Source organism: Homo sapiens, chromosome 15 (assembly GCF_000001405.40).
Source record: "Homo sapiens chromosome 15, GRCh38.p14 Primary Assembly".
NCBI classification, from domain to species: Eukaryota; Metazoa; Chordata; class Mammalia; order Primates; family Hominidae; genus Homo; species Homo sapiens.
The window spans coordinates 99,790,747-99,808,828 of NC_000015.10; the positions used below are offsets into that span (position 1 = coordinate 99,790,747).

The 18,082-nt window shown below is 49.7% G+C and overlaps 1 long non-coding RNA gene and 3 pseudogenes across 3 annotated transcripts in view, besides 1 other annotated feature; 3 read left to right on the forward strand and 1 right to left on the reverse strand.

The window, feature by feature from the left end:
* Positions 1-33: 33 nt before the first annotated feature.
* DNM1P46 (dynamin 1 pseudogene 46) lies at positions 34-16,181 on the reverse strand (annotated as a pseudogene). Its single transcript, NR_003260.2, has 5 exons — positions 16,050-16,181; positions 14,054-14,183; positions 10,229-10,433; positions 8,886-9,508; positions 34-2,150 (listed from the first exon to the last, which is right to left on the reverse strand). The product of NR_003260.2 is annotated as a dynamin 1 pseudogene 46 (transcript).
* Positions 463-664, forward strand: RN7SL484P (RNA, 7SL, cytoplasmic 484, pseudogene; annotated as a pseudogene).
* LOC124903563 (uncharacterized) lies at positions 810-6,219 on the forward strand. Its single transcript, XR_007064776.1, has 3 exons — positions 810-895; positions 1,633-1,733; positions 1,823-6,219. It is a non-coding gene; the product is annotated as an uncharacterized LOC124903563 (long non-coding RNA).
* Positions 15,196-15,567: a silencer, noted in NCBI's record as "fragment chr15:100346147-100346518 (GRCh37/hg19 assembly coordinates)". NCBI's record gives its function as "represses an EF-1alpha promoter that drives an FKBP-Casp9 reporter gene in an ReSE screen in K562 erythroleukemia cells {active_cell/tissue: K562}" and the evidence as "EXISTENCE:reporter gene assay evidence [ECO:0000049][PMID:32094911]".
* A 95-nt stretch (positions 16,182-16,276) lies between the features above and the next one.
* Positions 16,277-18,082, forward strand: part of LOC400464 (ubiquitin conjugating enzyme E2 Q2 pseudogene) — a 75,960-nt pseudogene continuing 74,154 nt past the window's right edge. The window contains exons 1-2 of the transcript NR_135737.1: positions 16,277-16,352; positions 17,401-17,556. The product of NR_135737.1 is annotated as a ubiquitin conjugating enzyme E2 Q2 pseudogene (transcript). The remainder of the gene's footprint in view (positions 16,353-17,400; positions 17,557-18,082) is intronic.

Genomic DNA, 18,082 nt, shown 5'->3' on the forward strand with positions numbered 1-18,082 from the left:
GGAGGAACACATAGATACACACACACACACATATACATAAAGTATACACACATATATTTTTTAAAGTTTTAAAGCTTTTAAAGCAAAAGCCGGCCCCTCCCCTCTCCCAGAGGGGGCGGCCCCTCCCCTCAGAGTAGGCGGGGACAGCAGTTGCATGGACAGCTTTCCTTGTGAGCCACAGGTCCCTCTGGACATACTGCTGCCTGGCCACACCCCCTTTCCCTTTCATCTTTGTCATTGACCAATGGGCTTGGAGCATTAAGGCCACGCCCCTGTTCTGCATTCTATGGGGGCCCTAGTTGTGCCTCCTCGGGCTCAGTCACACAGCTGCCTGGTAGGCAAGTGGAGGTGTTCATCAGTGCTCACTGGGATTTTGCTCACGTGGCCCCAACCCCGCCTCCCTCCCCACCCCGCAATGGCAGAAGAAACTCAACAGAGCAAATTGGCCGCAGCAAAGAAAAAGGCAAAGGTTGGAAGAGACCTTTAGAACAGCTGGTCCCTATGCCGACCGGGTGCCCGCACTAAGTTTGGCATCAATATGATGTCCTCCTGGGAGCGGGGGGCCACCAAGTTGCCTAAGGATGGCTGAACTGGCCCAGGTCAGAAAGGGAGCGGGTCAGAACTCCCACATCGACTGGTAGTGGGACTATGCCTGATCTTGGTTCTTAAAAGTAAAAATAAAGAACAGCAGCTGCTCTCTGGGTAGTGGCTGGCTCAGTGTTACACAGTGAGGGTGGAGGCAGAGGTGGGCCCACAGTACCTCCCTTATTGGGCTGTCTGAGGACCCTTCTGGCCACCCCCCACAGGAGATAGAGGAGGACATCTGGACAGTGAGGAGGAGGCACCTCGGCCCATGCCAAGCAACCCAGAGGACCTGGAGAGCTGGGAGGCCACGGTGAGCCTGACTCCCCCTGTACCCATTTTGCCACCTTCCTCTGTGGTCCCTCCAAGACCCCTTTATGCTCTTGGTTTCCCTGCCTTCTGATTTCTCTGGACCCTCATCCCTTCCAGGAGCCAGTGGTCAGACACCATTTCACCTGTGACCAACAGATGCACTCTCTGAGGCCCCAAGGGAAGAGGCTGCACTCCACCTCTCTGCCCCGTTCGTTCTGTGTATGCCCCTACAAGAATGCTCACCTCTTGCCCTCAGGTTGCATTTTTCAACTCCGCTGGAGCCAATGCCCAGGAGGAGCAGGCACGGTTATGAGAGCAGGTGAAAGAGCAGAGGGTGTGCTGCCAGCGCATGGCTCACCTGGTGGCCTCGGCCCAGCAGAAGCCAGAGGCAGCGGTCCCAGCCCCAGTGACTAGGGGCCAGTCTGTGAGTGGGGAGACCCACCGGGCCATGCAGGAGGTCATGGAGAAGCTGGAGGTGACTGAGTCCTGGCATGGGCCAAGAAGGGCAGGGGTGGGTGTTGCTGCCGAGATGTGACCCCATTATTTTGGCTCCAGAGTGGCCTTATGGACCTCCTGGAGGAGAAGGTGGACCTGAGGGAGCGAGCGGAGAAACTAGAACTTCGATTCATCCAGTACTGGAAAGACAGAAGTCATCAGTTAGTGGGAGGCCAGGGCACGGCAGGGGGAGCTGCAGGGCCGTCGGAGGGACCTCAGCGTCTGAGCCCTGTCCTCCTGCAGGAAAGTTCATCACCCTAGAACACAGCCAGGGGGCAGTGCCAAAGATGCGGCAACTGGAGGAGGACATCATCAGGCTGGCCCAGGACATGGAGGAGATGAAGGTAGGGTGTGCAACATCTCTGCAGGGGTGGGGGTGGGCGTGAGGGTGGGCGCCGGTAGATGCATAACAGCTGAGCACCCCTCCCTCCAGGTGAAGCTGCTGGAGCTGCTGGAGAAGATGTTGCGGCTTGTGGTGACTACAACGAGGGACACAGCAAATTCCCGGCCACTGCCCTGAAGCTTGCTGATGAGCCTGGTCCAGGAGCCCCAGCCCCCCAGGAGCTTGTGGGTGCTGATAAGCATGGTGGTGAGTAGAGTCCTCAGGCAGGGTGGGCAGGCAGGGGCAGGGGAGGCTCTCACTGCACTCGGATCCCCACCTCCTTCTCTCCAAAGATCTTTGTGAGGTGAGCCTCACTGACAGCGTGGAGCACCCAGGCTTGTGCAGCAACTCCCGTATGCCATTCTTTTGCTGGGCTTGGCTGCTGAGAAGAAGGAGATAAACATCACCATCATCAAAGAGCTGCTCAAGAAATTTTAAAAAAGGAAACAAAGTTATGGGGTTCATCTCCTACCCAATTCATTTACTTCATTTGAATGTTAGAGCCACTCATGATTATTTGTAATTTATAGTTTATTTGTAAAAAGTTAAAGGAGAGTGGGTCTCTGTGGCTTTCACTGATGTTTACTCTGGCATCCTTCAGCATTTTTCTTTTTTAGTTTCATAGTTGTAGGTCATTAGCATGCATATCGAGTTTGCCCTTACGTGGTGGGAGTTCAAATACACAAAGACCCACTATTTGCACAAAATTATTATTGCTGGTTTGGAATAGGCTGCCATGCTTTTTTAATGTTATCGCAGCATGTATGTTCATTACGGAATTCAGATAAAATTTGCTTATGTTCTGCTATTGTTTGATCTAATCTTAATCACAGTGAGCTCTTCATTAGCTCAATATGTGGTTTGCCCCCAGGTGTGCACTGTTTATTACTTTGTAATATGCCACTATGAGTACTGACATTTAGAGTTGTTTAAAGGCCGAGAACTGGAAACAGCCTTTCCCCTATTTTCTGTGTATTGGTGATGGGAGTAATAACATTTTGGGGGAGCTTTTAAAATCTCACAGAAGAGGAAAGTGGCCTGCTGTGGCAGGTTTGTGCAGGATAGAGTGTGTTTCATTTGTTCCGGTGCCAACAATTAGCGCTGTACTATGGTAGTTCCCTTCGGATTTGTATGTGCTCTGGGCTCATGAAGATATTGCATCATGAGCTGCAGCAGTTGTACTCTTTCTCGATGACCTAAAAACTGATCATTTCTGAGGAACGAAAGGCTCCCTTCATTGACTGTAGATGTGGAAAACCTTTCCTAGCTTAGAGCATTTGTGTCTATAATACATTTTAAAGTCAGAGTTGATGTTACCTGTTTTAATCACATGACCACATGTCCCAGTACACAAAAGAGTGCTGGCTGGCATTCTTCTTATTTAGTAAAGATCATAAGAAATCCTTTAGGAGTTTAAATGTCCCTGGAACAGGCATACAGGCTCTAGTCAAGAATGAATTAGAGTGAAGGAAAGCTTGTGACACCTGGCATTCCTCTCTGTTCATGGAGCTTCTTTGAGGCTTGAAGATTGATTTTTACCATCTACACCTCTCTGGCTAATACCTATTCTTCAACCACCTTGGTTACTCTGACATAGGAATTTACTTCTTTTCCTTGAATGGAAAACACTTTAAAAAATAATAACAAACATTATTATAAACTAATATATGTGAGAGTACTTAGTTGAAACAAAAAGGAGTTTTAGTAGACAGTATTATACTATATTTGATAATCAAGGAGATGTTTATGCAATTTAAAATGTTTATAAACTGCAGTGCAGTCTACTGTTTGTGAATGTCAATGTATTATCAGGAAATGTGTCTATACAATCACAGAGTTATATTTCCTCACAAACTTGTTTACTAAGAGTGAAATATGTTTTTGTACCTCTCAGTTTCAGTTAGGGACATATTTTGTGCAATATTTATGTGATTGTGCCTATGCATGATGAACAAATGATTTCAGTCATACATTGCCTAAATCATAACTTGATGATGCTTGGGAAAGACTCAACAGTTCAAACTTCATGAAGTTCTAATGTCTGTGTTCCAAAACACATCACATTATTAGGATGTAGGGAGATGTGTATATGCGCTCCCTGGGGTGGGGATTTCTAGTTACTAGACCATCTCCATTTTTAGCATTTGGCGTCCTCATGATACTTTTCTAAATATGACATTAACAGGAGAGCAACAATACGATTTTACCGATGGAATAACAGATTTGCCTGCATTCACTGAAAGAGCGCAAATATTGGGTCCTTGTGACTTCAACTGACTCTTCCAAATTGTATGAATGTATCAATGTATTAGATAAACCCAGTTTCAGAATGATAAAGAAAAAATGTTAGACCAAATAACACAGCTAATTAACAGTGGTACGATTTCTAGCCCGTGGGTTTAAAATGGACCTAAAGTCCTGTTCTTGCCTTTTATTTTCTGAACTTGCTGCTTTTGCATTCTTTGAGTTCAATTTAAAGACAGTTACTTTAAGTCCATTTTAAACCCTCAGGCTAGAAATCATACCACTGTTAATTAGCCACATCTATTTGGTCTAACGTTTTTTCTTTATCATTCTGAAACTGGGTTTATCTAATACATTGGTAAATTATTTCAAAGGTACTTTTATTGTTGAAATCACTTCACTTTTACCCTGATAAATATCAATGACTAGGAATGACCTTCAGATAGCATTTAGCATCTGTAACCAATCTGACAATAATGTGTTCATCAGGTGCCTATGGATTAAATCACATATTGGCATATTTAAGCTGAATGTCAGTCTGGAAATAAATTTACTATATTAACTGAAATACCACTCTTTGTGTAGGTATTTGTCATATATTTAAGAGAAAGCTAAAAAGAATGGAAATCGTATGACTAACTTGTCTTTCTTCAAAGTGCATACAGTCTTTTGCGATACCTCATTGAGCCAAGGAATTTCAAAATGCTAGTTCAGCTGAATAAATTTGAATTTCTGCAGGAAGAATCAAAACACCTATTTAAAGATTGCAATATATAATAATTATTTTTAAAGAAGTATTTGATTAAACCTGATAGGTTTTCCAGAAATGAAAAAAAAATCAGTTCTAAAACCAAAGCTGATTTTTAGAAAATTTGAAAAGGTAAATCAGCCCTATCCATAATATAGTTTCTCTAAAACATTATCTTAAAGAGTCATTTAAAAATAATGTAACTACTAAAAAATGTAACTGCTATCTTAAAGTTCTGAAATAAAACATTTTAAAATATGAATACTATAGTTTAAAAGAAAGAAACGGTGGGAAGGAAAAGTAGAGAAAGAAATGCCAATTCCAGTCCAAAGCTTTATTTGCCAAGTTTTCTTAGAATGAATTTTACCAATTTATGAATTCTTGTAAACAGAAGGTATAATGGAAATACTGAAAAACTTTTGCCTAAAGTGGCATTATTGACTGCTAGTGTGATGCTACTGTAATGTAATAAATTATTAAATTGTTACAAAGTGCTGTTTTTGCCTTAAAATTTTGTTTTGCATGTCTTGGAAAACTATAGTATTAAAGGTGTTGATACTGTGCGAATGCTGGGCATGCTTGGCATGAGATAATCTGTTTCATTTTTACAAAATTGTAATATAGCTATGCAAGTGTTTGTTAAAAGAACACAAAATAAAGTTACAGGATTAAAAAATGTTATGGAGTGAAAAAGTTATGGGATTAAAAAAATGTAAAAAAGTTGTGGCAAAAAAGTAGAAAAAAATTTTATGAAAAGTTACAAAAAAAGTTATGAAAAAGAAGTTACGGGATTTTAAAAAAAGTCATGGGATAAAAACAAAAATTAAAAGCAGGCCTCTGTCAGCAAAGCCTGGAGAAGTAGGGCTGGAGTCTCCACTGCCACCATGACCCTACCACCCCTTCCCAGGCACCCCTTTACAATTAGGGTAGCCACACAAGACCTCTGTCTAATGGGGAAAGACAGACCCTTTGCCGCCTTGACCAGGGCTGAGTCCTTAAATTTCTGGATGATGATGATTGTTATTTAAGAGCCAGAGGCTGGCAGAGGTGGTTTGTTTGGAGGAGGTCTGATGGCCTCCTTACTCTCACCATAGTAACTTTTCCCTCGGGGGGGCTCCCATCTTCTTATTCAGAGAGGCAGCTGAGGCGGGACAGTGGGGCTAACTGTGGACCAGGTGAGGGCACGGGCTGCTGGGGTGGCCCCCCTTCCCCGGTGTACATATTGTATCTATGTAACGTTTTGTATATTCCAGAGGGTAGGGCCGCCCCTGTATCGTACCTAGAGGAGGTTGGAGCTGGCACATGGGGAGGAGGGTCTGATCATTATTTGTGGCTGGGAAACTTATGTATTGCTAGCATAGGACAAAGAAAGGAGGCGGGGATGGGGTCATGGCTCCTGGTGATGCGACTCCTGTTTATTTTGCTTTTTATTTTGGAATAAACGGATTTAGCCATACTGCTCAGCCTGGTGTGTTCCCATTTCCCTCACTGGGTCCTGGTGTTTGTGCCACTGAACGAGAAGCCCTGGAGTGTCTGAGCGTGTCCAGCTGGGCTGTTGGGGACCTTCCAGGCCTGTTACCTGTATGCTGCCTGGTGACGCCTGGGGGAGTCCACGGGGACTGCCATGGCACCTATGGGGCGCAGCCCGGCCCTGACAGCCAACAGGCTCAGAAGCGTGATCTAGCCATGGCCGGGAAGACAGGCACCAGCACCTAACGGCACTGACTTCCACCCACCCCAGGTGTCTTCCGTTCCATCCCCTTGCCTCCCTCTCCTGTCTGCACCTGGTGGCCTGTTATGTCTGTGTCCCTCCAGAGTGCCGGCTGCCCCTCAGGCTCCCTCCAGGCTGAGTTCACGGCCCTGCCCCCTGGTGGCCAGAGCCGGCTTCACAGGATAAGAGCCAGCTAAGCTCCAGGGGCTTTCCAGGAAAAGTGTCCCTTGGAAAGGGTGTGACCTTTTCACAGCTCCCAACAGCACCCTAGAAATGGCTTGGCCTTTCCCGTCCTCTGAGCTCCACACAGAACACAGCCAGCAGAGGACACACTTCCCTGCCATCCAGAAATGGGTTTGATTCTCAGCCAAGGGACAGCAGGACTGGTAGAGACTGTCAGGCCACACAGAGGCCTGCACAGCACCCCCATGCTTGGTGGGGGGTGGGAGGGATGGCGGGGCTGGCTGTCCACAGGCTGGGCATGACAGGGAGGCTCACTGGAGGTGGCGCACTTTGGAGGAGCAATGTCAGGGGACAGCTTTCTCTTGTTGGGCCACAAGACTCCAAAAGGACAGCAGGGTGACTGATTCCCAGCGCTAGAGACGAGGCGGTCGGCCAGGTGTTGCTGCATGTGTGTGTGTGTGTGTGTGTGTGTGTGTGTGTGTGTATATATATATATATATATGTATTTATAGATATTTATAGAGCAGGACGGGGCATATCACAAAGGGGGCACAAGTTTTCAGCAGTGGTCACACCTGGATGTGTCAGCTCACCACAACAGACTAAGTCACAGATGTAGGGGGCTGGCTTTGAGGCTGGGGGAGCCACTGTCAAGTCACAGAACAGCCGCTCAGGCAGGCTTGGAAAGGGAGGTCTCTGAGAAGAGGAGGGATCTGTTTAGAGGTCGAAGTGGGGGCTGGGGCTCTGAGGATGGGATGGTCTTGCCTGACCCAATCAGCTGGCAGTTGGAGAGAAAGCAGAGAGAAGCAGGAGAGAGAAAAGCGAGCAGAGAGCTGATGAGGCAAGGCAGAGACAGGCGTGCCACAGCAGCTGTGGGAGGGCTGGGGCGGGGAGGGCGCAGGTGCGGGTATGGCAAGGCTCCTGGGAAAGTGGGGCTGGAAAGGAAAGGGGAGGAAGAAGGAGGGAGGAGAGCTCCACAGTTAGTCCTGGGGGCTGCGGCGGCCTCCCCACCCCACACACGCTGGCCTCTTTCAGGGCACCCAGGGCAGTGCACCCACCGTTCAGAGCAATGCTCCACAGTTAGTGCCTGGGGGCTGCGGCGGCCCTCCCCACCCCACACACGCTGGCATCTTTCAGGGCACCCAGGGCAGTGCACCCACCGTTCAGAGCAATGCTCAGCCCCCTCCAGTGTCCCTCTTCTCTGGTCACCCTGTCTTTGAACCCACTGGCCCGGGGCCACCTCTTGCTTTTGGGAACCCAAAACAACAGCCACCAGGCCTGATACAGAAGGAACACTGCTTGAACCAGGATGATGAAGCTAAAAGGGATGGATGGCTGGAGTGATTGCCGGAGCCCCTTTTGGGCAGTCAGAAAGCCCAGGACCCTCTGAGGGGACCCTGGGGGAGGTAGGGAGGATAGGCAGCTGGATGCCACTGGCTATAGACTTATAAGTCTAAGAGGGGAGCCTCAGCTTGTTGGGGGTTGCAGGTCACAAAGGTGAGGCTGGGCCCTTCCTGCTGGGAAAAGCAGAAGAGGGAGAGTCCATGGCAAGGGAGGTGGGTGGGCTTGCTGGGTGGAGCTCAGCCGGGCCAGCATGCACTATGGTCCCCTCGGCTGAATAGCAGAGGCAACCTCTAGAAGCAACAGGCCAAGGTGCGTGAGTCTGCTGGCTGGCGGTAGTGCTTCAGTGGGGGCCAGGGACCCTGCCTTCAGCCACACGCTATCAGCTATGATGGTACCTGGGAGGGAGGGAAGGGGACTGTGTGTCCCTGCCTGGCCTGTGAGGTGTGTTGTGGGTTGACCGTGTGTATGGGACTCTCAAGTTTTTATCTTAGATCACCACTGGATTGTCAACAGATAGAGGAGGTGGGACCCTGACTATCACCCCTGCTCTGCAGTAGATTTGGCTCTCAGCACTCCCAGGCTGGGAGCTGGATGCCCGCCCTGGCAGCATGACTCGGACTTCACAACAGCTACAGCGTGCCCAGGATGACATTCCTAGGCCTCTGGCCGCCTCAGAGTACAGCCCTGCACACAACCCCCTCCAAGCTCTCAGCCCTTACACCATAAACCACGAGCTCTCTGACAGCTCCAGAGAGAGCCCATGTCTGCCAGCTTGGGCACAGAGCCTGTTCCAAGAGCCCACAAGCTCAGCCATGGAGGCTAGGGGGCTTTGGGGCTAGTGGGGGCCAGCCCTGGTACCTGGGTCCAGCCGGGACGCTCTGTACCTGCAGCTAGGCGTCGTCCACGGGCCCCCGTAGCTGTGCTGACGGTGTTCGTGTTGATGTTGCCGATGATGCTGAGAGCCTCTTTCAGCACGTGGTGCATGCGCAGCATCTCGTCGCGCCGCTGTGCCTGCTCCGCCGACTCCTCCAGGAGTGTCTTCTCGTTCCCACGCGAGTGCAGGTTGGACAGCAGCTCTGAGAAGATGAACTCCTTGGTCTGCCTGCTCCGCCGACTCCTGCAGGAGTGTCTTCTTGTCCCTACGCGAGTGCAGGTTGGACAGCAGCTCCGAGAAGATGAACTCCTTGGTCTGCCTGCTCTGCCGACTCCTCCAGGAGTGTCTTCTCGTTCCCACGCGAGTCTCGTCGCGCCGCTGTGCCTGCTCTGCCGACTCCTCCAGGAGTGTCTATTTCTTCCCACGCGAGTCTCGTCGCGCCGCTGTGCCTGCTCTGCCGACTCCTCCACGAGTGTCTTCTGGTTCCCAAGCGAGTGCAGGTTGGACAGCAGCTCTGAGAAGCAGCATCTCGTCGCGCCGCTGTGCCTACTCTGCCGACTCCTCCATGAGTGTCTTCTCGTTCCCACGCGAGCGCAGGTTGGACAGCAGCTCCGAGAAGATGAACTCCTTGGTCTGAGAGTGGGCAAAGAAGGAAGGAGTTTGGGTCCTGATGCCCGTGCTGCCCTGGCCTCCCGCTGGCCCCTGCTGGGACTGTGTGCTGGAGTTGAAGCCCTGAGTATGGCTTTTCACATGCGGCTTCTACACAGCTTAAACTCAAAGATCTGCCTCCCCATTGCCCTTTTCTCACTCAGATAGGGACACTGAGGTCCAGAGGAAAGGTCGCCTGTGCAAGTCACAGATCTGGGAGGGCACCCTGGACCTATCATGCTACCAGGACAACTGTCTACTCAGGTTTTTCAAATTTTTTTTGGAGATAGGATCTTACTCTGTCGCTAGGCTGGAGTATAGAGGGCAAGATCACTGCTCACTGCATCCTCAACCTCTTGGGCTCAAAGTGATCCTCTAATGTCAGCCTGTCGAGTAGCTAGGACTATAGGCACGTGCCACCACCAAGCCCAGCTATTTTTAAAATTTTTGTGTAGAGGCCAGGTCTCACTATGTTGCCCAGGCTGGTCTCAAACTCCTGGGTTCAAGCTATCCTCCCGCCTTGGCCTCCCAAAGTGCTGGGATTACAGGCATGGACCACTGTCCTCAGTCCCATGTTATATTTCTATGAGACAGCTCTGGTCTGGACCATGCCTCCCTCCCTGGACCTGGTCCCATAGGGCTGGTCAGCATCTCCCCCAGGCCAACATGGCCACCTGCATCCTCAGTGCCACAGGAGCCGCCTACCCCCATGAGGCGGTGCATGCACATTGTAGATCATGATATGCATGGTGGTCTTGGGCTTCGCACCAACCATGAGGTCCCACACGGTCTTGTTGACAATGGCCATGTAGGAGTCCACCAGGTTCTGGGTGGTTTCCATTTGCCGCTCCAGCTGTGGGTCCATGGAGTGCATGAAGCTGTGGGAGCCATTCTCCTCAGCCTTGCTGTCCTGTCACGGAGAACGCAAGGGCATCAGGGTGGCCAGGCCATGCAGCCAGGCTCCAGCAATCCCTAGGATCTCAGTCCCTCCAAGGGTACCTGGAACATTGAAGCACAGAGAAAGGCAACTGGCCTGAACACACACCCAGCTCCCCACATGCTCTAGATGGTTTCAGGCCTCTGCCTCTCAGGACCCCAGACTCCCCTGATTCATGTCTCGTCTTAGTTCTGATTCTAGTGCCCAGAATTTGCCTCAAGTTACCAATCCAGAAATTGGAAAAGAACATCTCCAGGTACCTTGCTTGAAGACCTGGCCAGAGCTTGCGCCAGGCTGCAGATGCCTGGCAGGAGGCAAAAAAAGGGCATACTCACTTTCCCCTTGTCCTGGGAGGCCCATGCACCAACACTGCCACCGCCGCTGCCACCAGGGAACAGAGCAAAGTAGACACACACAGACAAGAAAACGGGAAGGGTTGAGTGAACCTGGGACACTGCACCCCAACTTTAATGTGTTGTTGAATTCAATTAGCTAATATTTTGTTGAGGATTTTTGCATCAATATTCATCAGTGATACTGGCCTGTAGTTTTCTTTTTTGGATGTATCTTTAGTTTTGGTATCAGGGTAATATTAGCCTTGTAGAATGAGTTTGGAAGTATTCTCTCCTTCTCTATTTTTGGAATCGTTTGGGTAAGGTTGGTATTAGTTCTTCTTTAAATGTTTGCTAGAATTCAGCAGTGAATCATCAGGTCCCAGGCTTTTCTTTGCTGAGAGACTTTTCATTACCACTTCGATCCCATTATTTGTTATTGGTCTGTTCTGGTTTTGGATTTCATCCTGGTTCAGTCTTGGTAGTCTGGATGTGTCTGGAAATTCATCCATTTTTAGTAGGTTTTCCTATTTGTTTGCATATAGTTGCTGATAATAGCCACTAGTGATCCTTTGAGTTTTTGTGGTATCAGTTGTCATGTTTCCTTTTGTTTGTCAATGTTGTTTATCTTTTTAAAAAAATAATTTTTTTTTTTGAGATGGAATCTTGCTTTGTCACCCAGGCTGGAGTGCAATGGCACAATCCTGGCTCACTGCAACCTCTGCCTCCCAGGTTCAAGTGATTCTCCTGCCTCAGCCTCCTGAGTAGCTGGGATTACAGGTGCGTACCACCACCCTGGGTAATTTTTCTATTTTTAGTAGAGACATGGTTTCACCATGTTGATCAGGCTGGTATTGAACTCCTGACCTCATAAGGTACCCACTTCGGCCCTGCAAAGTGCTGGGGTTACAGGCTTGAGAATCCGTGCCCAGCCCACATTTTGTTTTTAAATTTTACTTAATTTACTTGTTTTTTTCTTTTGCAAACAGGGTCTCATTCTGTTGCCCAGGCTGGAGTGCAGTGGTGCAATCATGGGCTCACTGTAACCTTGAACACCTAAACTCAAGAGATCCTCCCATCTCAGCCTCATGAGTAGCTAGGACTACATGCCTGCACCACCACACCTGGCTAATTTTTCTAGTTTTTGTAGAGAAAGGGTTTTGCTATGTTGCCCAGGCTGGTCTTGAACTCCTGGCCTCAAGCAATCCTCCTGCCTTGGCCTCCCAAAGTGCCAGGATTACAGGCATGAGCCACCATGCTGGGTCTATATATACATTTTCTTTTCCATGTTATATAAAGTATTCTGTATGCATCCTCCTGGAATTTGTTTTTCTCACAATATTATATTGCTAAAGTTCTTATTGTTGTTTATTGCTGGCCTTCATTCTTTTTGACTGCTTGTGAAATCACCAGAAGATAGACATCCTGAGATCTCTTAAGAACTGCTGCTGGGAGTATACACTGGTATGACCACTTTGGAAAACAGTTTGGCTCCATCTCATAAGGTTCAATATTCACACTCCTCCCAGCCCAGTAATTCTACTCTACATGGAAGAGAAATTCTTGCCTATATAAAACAGGTGATGTGGACAAGGAATGTTCCTAACAGCTCTGTTCAAAATAGCAAAAACCTATTGCCCATCAACTGGAGAGTAGGTGACTAAATTGTGCTTTTTATTCCCTTTGATTTCCTGTAGTCTTACGATGCAAGTGGCTTTCCCATGGCTAGCTTGGGGAGGGGGATACTCTTGGCAACTGAGTCTGTGGTGGCAGTCCTGCTTAGCCCTAGGGCAATCGGTGCTGACCAAAACAAGAGTAAACAGAACAAGGTGCCCCATTGAGCCAATGCCTTGAGTCCCTGGAGGTACAGTCTTGTATCTGTAGGAAATAGCCATCATACAAATCAGTCTTTTCAAATGCTCTGTCACTGGGCTGAGTCCAAAGGACATTCTCCTTTAAAACATTATAAAGTTTACTGAGGCTACCATTTATCGAGCAGTTATCATGTGCCTGATCACGTACTAGTGTACTAATTGCATGCATTATTTTATTATTTTATTTATTTACTTATTCATTTATTTGAGATAGGGTCTCTCTCTGTTTCCTGGGCGGGAGTGCAGTGGTGCAATCACAGCTCACTGCAGCCTCAAGCTCCTGGGCTCAAGTGGTCTCACCTCAGCCTCTCGAGTAGCTGGACTGTAGGCCTAAGCCACCAAGTCCAGCTAATTTTTTAAAAAAACATTTTCATAGAAATGTGGTCTGGCTTTGTTGCCCAGGCTAGTCTCAAACTCCTGGCTTCAAGCGATCCTCCTCCTTCAGCCTTATTATTGCATTTAATCGTCACCATCACCCTGTGAGAGTGGCTGGGGGTAGGTGCTCCACTCAGTAGCAACGTAGCAACCTCCACTCATAGGTGACAATGAGACTCAGTGTAGTCAAGCAACTTCTCAAAGGTCACACAGCTGGAGGGTGGCTGAGCCAGGATGAAGACCTAGGACTCGAAAGCTGGTGCACCAGTAAATGAGAAAATCTCTGGGGGTTCAGGATCGCTTCCTCCCAAGAAATCTTTCTCCAAAGGTTCTAAAAACAATAACAACAGATCCATCTTTCATAAAGCAAACAAAACTAGCAGCCCCTTCATTTTAGAGGGGGGAGGGGGGATAAAGGTTAGCTAAGCTCCAGGGCATCCCATTTTAATCCTACACATTTATCAGGCAACTGCCAGCACAGCACCCCAAACCTAAAGAACCATGCACAGCTGTCTCTGTGGGGCATGGCGTGTCCACGGACGTAAAGATTTTCCAATGTGTGTTTACAGGCCGGTGGCATCACCCTCAGTCACAGGTTAAACGGCAGCTAGGCCTGGCCTGCTAGGCACCACCGTGAGAATCTGCTGAGTTTTCCAACTAGTTTATCTGCTGTTTGCAATGAAAGACGCCCTGAAAAGAAGGGGTGTGGGTGGGAAGAGTTCTGATTTGAGGTGCCCTGATCCGGCACGATCTCCTTCCCCAGTCACAGGAATCAGAGGACTCCATCTGTAAACACAGCCTCAAGCTCTGTCCCCCAACCCCCTCTTTCAACCAGGTGCCACCCTCTGCTTCTCTTCCATAGACAGCCTAGGCTGCCAGCATTCCCTTAGGATCTGTGCCCTCGGGCCTAGCTTAATTTTTTCCTCTCCAAAGAGCCATCTGTAGGGCCAGAAGCCAGCAAAGCCTAACTCATTACTGGACGGCAGTTCCTCTGCCTTTCACTGATTCCTACCTTACCCTGGGGTTTTACGTTTCTTGTCTCAACACTAACATTTCTCACTCCTCCACAAGTTGAATTGCTCACTCCAGCCAACTGAAGCATGCTCTTCTTGACACAGTTAGCTCTCGGCACATGGTCGGTGCTAAAAAAAAAATGATCATTATGTCAATTTCATTGATCAACAAAAGTGATGCCTCCACTGCAAAGTCAAGTTGATAGTGCCTGGGCCTCTGAGTTCAAGAGCCTTCTAGACAAAGCGCTCTGAGCTGAAACATGAGCATGCACACATATGCATCTCTCTCGGTCTCATGAGATAATCTGGATACTTGGTTGTTATCCTTGAGCATTTTCCTACCTCATTAATGCACGTGTAGCCAACACAATAATTATCATAGCTAATAACGGCTAAAGCTGAGGACTTTCCTGAGCCAGGCAGTGGCTTTAAAAACTTTAATGTTTTCACATAGACTCTCATTGAATAATTTCTGTTTTTCAGATCAAGAAACTGAGACTTACTATCACATTTGGGATTAAGTTTAAAAAAAAAAAAAAGAAACTGAGGCTTAAAGTTGTCTAGTATTTCACAGCCAGCAAATGGCAAAGTTGGAAATTGAACCAGGCAGTAGAGCCCCAGGATCCTGTGCCTTTACCCATTACCTAGTGTTGGCTACACAAAACTAGTGTGTACACAACTTCAACTATAGTTTAAGCTATAGTTTAAGTGGGTGACATATTTTTCACTACATTTTATGTAGGTGACTTTCAGTTTGGGGGTATTCTACTTATGCAATCTATTGAGGTGGATATTAACTGAGAACAAATAGAAACTAATGAACTCTGAAAAACATAAAACATGAGCAACATGATGTCACCGCAAAACACAAAACAGCCCACAGCCTTCTTGTGACTGCATTTTGCTGACAGTCCACGACCTAATAATCAACCTGAACTCAGCAGTGCTCTGTTCCCTTGGGAGACACACACACACACACTCGGGAGAAACACACACACTACAGTTGGTGGTTGTGCCGCCCTGAGCCTCCAGTAGGCGAGTGTGAGGAATGTAGGGACTAGATGGGTCGGGCAGAAAGGTGCTGGGTCAAGGGGAGGAGGGGGCAGCCGGGAGCGCGCGCACGCTCTGGACTCGTGCAACCGCCAAAACGGGTGCGCGCCGGGTTGAGGGGTGACAGGGAAGGTGGCAGGGTTGGGGCAGCCCTTTCCCAGGCGGTAGCGGGGACGGTGGTGCTGTTGTCCTTTTTCTTTTTCTTTTTTTTTTTTTTTTGAGACGGAGTCTCGCTCTGTCCCCCAGGCTGGAGTGCGGTGGCGCGATCTCGGCTCACTGCAAGCTCCGCCTCCCGGGTTCACGCCATTCTCCTGCCTCAGCCTCCCGAGTAGCTGGGACCACAGGCGCCCGCCACCGCGCCCGGCTCATTTTTTGTATTTTTAGTAGAGATGGGGTTTCCCCGTGTTAGCCGGGATGGTCTCGATCTCCTGACCTCGTGATCCGCCCGCCTCGGCCTCCCAAAGTGCTGGGATGACAGGCGGGAGCCCCCGCGCCCGGCTAATTTTTTGTATTTTTAGTGGGGACGGGGTTTCCCCGTGTTAGCCGGGATGGTCTCGATCTCCTGACCTCGTGATCCGCCCGCCTCGGCCTCCCAAAGTGCTGGGATGACAGGCGGGAGCCCCCGCGCCCGGCCGCTGTTGCCCTTTTAAGCTGAGGCTTGACAGGAGCCGCCCCTCCTATCGGTGGCGTCGGTCGCAAAGGGAGCAGCCCCCGAGGCCGCCGCGCAGCTCCCCGCCGAGGCCTCGGTGCCCCTTCCCATTTTCCATCCGCGCTCCCACGAAGGTTGAGGCGGCGGGGAGAGGCGAAGCCGCGAGCGCTCGGCCGGGCGGTCCCGCCGGGTGGTCGCAGCCATGACAGCGGCTCCCCTTCCGCGCCCCTCCCGCCGGAGATGAGGGAAGATGTCCCTGTCAGGGTTAAGGCCAAGCTGAAGTTGCTGGCGTCTACCTTCCACAAGAACCAGGAGCCGCAGCCGCGGCTCACGCTCCACTGCAACAGACGGTGGGGCGCGCGGCGGCGGCCTCGCAGGGCAGGGCGGGGGCGCAGATGGGGGAGTCTCGGGACCAACGGCAGCCTAACGGGTAGAGGCCCCGGGTCCCCGCCCCTTCCTCCCTCAGCTGGCCCCGCCCCGCCCCCGGGACTGCGCGAGGCTTGGGTGGGAGGAGGCGGAGGGCGCGTCTCTCCGGCTCCTGGCGCGGGGCTGACTCGGGGGCCGCTGGCCCCTCTTGGCCGCCGTCGCCACGCACCGAGGTGGGAGCCCGCGGCGGCCGGAGCCCTCTTGGGACCCATGGTCGCCCTCAGTCAGCGGGACTGCTCCCGGGACCGCGACGGGGCGGGGCGGGGCGCTCCAGCGTTGTTTGAGCCCAGGCGCGGAAGGGAAAAGGCCTCTGAGATGCTCGCGTGTTTTGCCTGGGCGCGGTGGCGCACGCCTGTAATCCCAGCACTTTGGGAGGCCGAGGCGGGCGGATCTCCTGAGGTCAGGAGTTCGAGACCAGCGTGGCCAACATGGTCAAACCGCGTTTCTACTAAAAACTACAAAAATTAGCCGGGCGTGGTGGCAGGCGCCTTAGTCCCAGCTACTTGGGAGGCAGAGGCAGGAGAATCGTTTGAACCCGGGAGGCGGAGGTTGCAGTGAGCCCAGATTAAGCCATTGCACTCAAACCTGGGGGACAAGAGCGAGACTTCTCTCAAAAAAAAAAAAAAAGTTTTTTTTTCTTTTCTTTTTTTTTTTTTTTTGAGACAGTCTCACTCTGTCGCCCAGGCTGGAGTGCAGTGGCGGGATCTCGGCTCACTGCAGCCTATGTCCCTTGACAGTCCACGGGTTAAAGAGATTCTCCTGCCTCAGCCTCCCCAGTAGCTGGATTACAGGCCCCGCCACCAAGGCTGGCTAACTTTTGTGTTTTTAGTAGAGAGGGGGTTTCACCGTGTTGGCCAGGCTGGTCTCGAACTCCTGACCTCAAATGACCCACCTCTGCCTCCCAAAGTGCTGGGATTCCAGGCGTGAGCCACCGCGCCGGGACCCAAGGCCCTTAAGTTTTAAGGCCTCATTCTTCAGTCAGGTTTTCCCTGTTCCCGCGTGTTCGGCCAATTTTTTGTTGTTGTTGTTTTGTTTTTGTTTTTGTTTTTGAGTCAATTTTCCAGACATCTTTAATTAGCAATATGTTTAAGTAGTTACAAGCCTTTCCTTCTTTTCTTGTGACAGTTTGGGTTGAATTTCTATCGTTTGCAGCCTGTCACTGTAAGGCACAAACATGATCACGCAAGATGCGATAGTAGATTTAAGCCAGTTGTTTTTAAGTTTGTGTTTAAGGAGAAACTAACAATGAAAACGGCCTCGTTGACGGAGGAAAAGTTGGAATGCAGCCTCTGGTGCTGTTTGAGCGATCCCTCTCCCCGGGGCCTGGCCGCGCGCTGCTGTGTTCTGGAAGGGCTCATTGTACAGTCAAGGCGGCAGGTAAGAGTCCCGTACAGGTGTCTTCGCGCTTTTCCTTTCAGGCTTCTGTGTGAGCTGTTTTTCCCCTGTAGGATGCGTCCCTGACCTCCACCCCTTCACCCTACCCAATTTGTCTTTACATGTCTGACCATCAAGGCTCTCCTGGGTCGTATTCAGTTCATGCTGATATTTTCCCTTCCTCCCCTCTTTGGTCCTCACTGTTTTTGCTTTGGTCATGTTATGCTATATTCTGTAGGCCTTTTTAATTTTTTTTTTATGGTGGCAGGGGAAAATATTTTATAATTATGCTTTGTGCTTTTTATCTTCCAGTCAGTAAATGCTTGGTAAATATTTGTTTTATTGAGTATATGACCCTATTCTAGCTATATCGTGCTTGAACAGAAATCTTAACTGCCTTGAAAGTTAACTGCTAAGAATTTGTCAAAAGTGCAGAGCTACATCAAGAACTTGTCATGGATAGTACAAAAAGGTCTCTAAGGGCTTGAAGGAAGTCTGTAAATTGATTTCATATGAAAGAGAGCGTAAG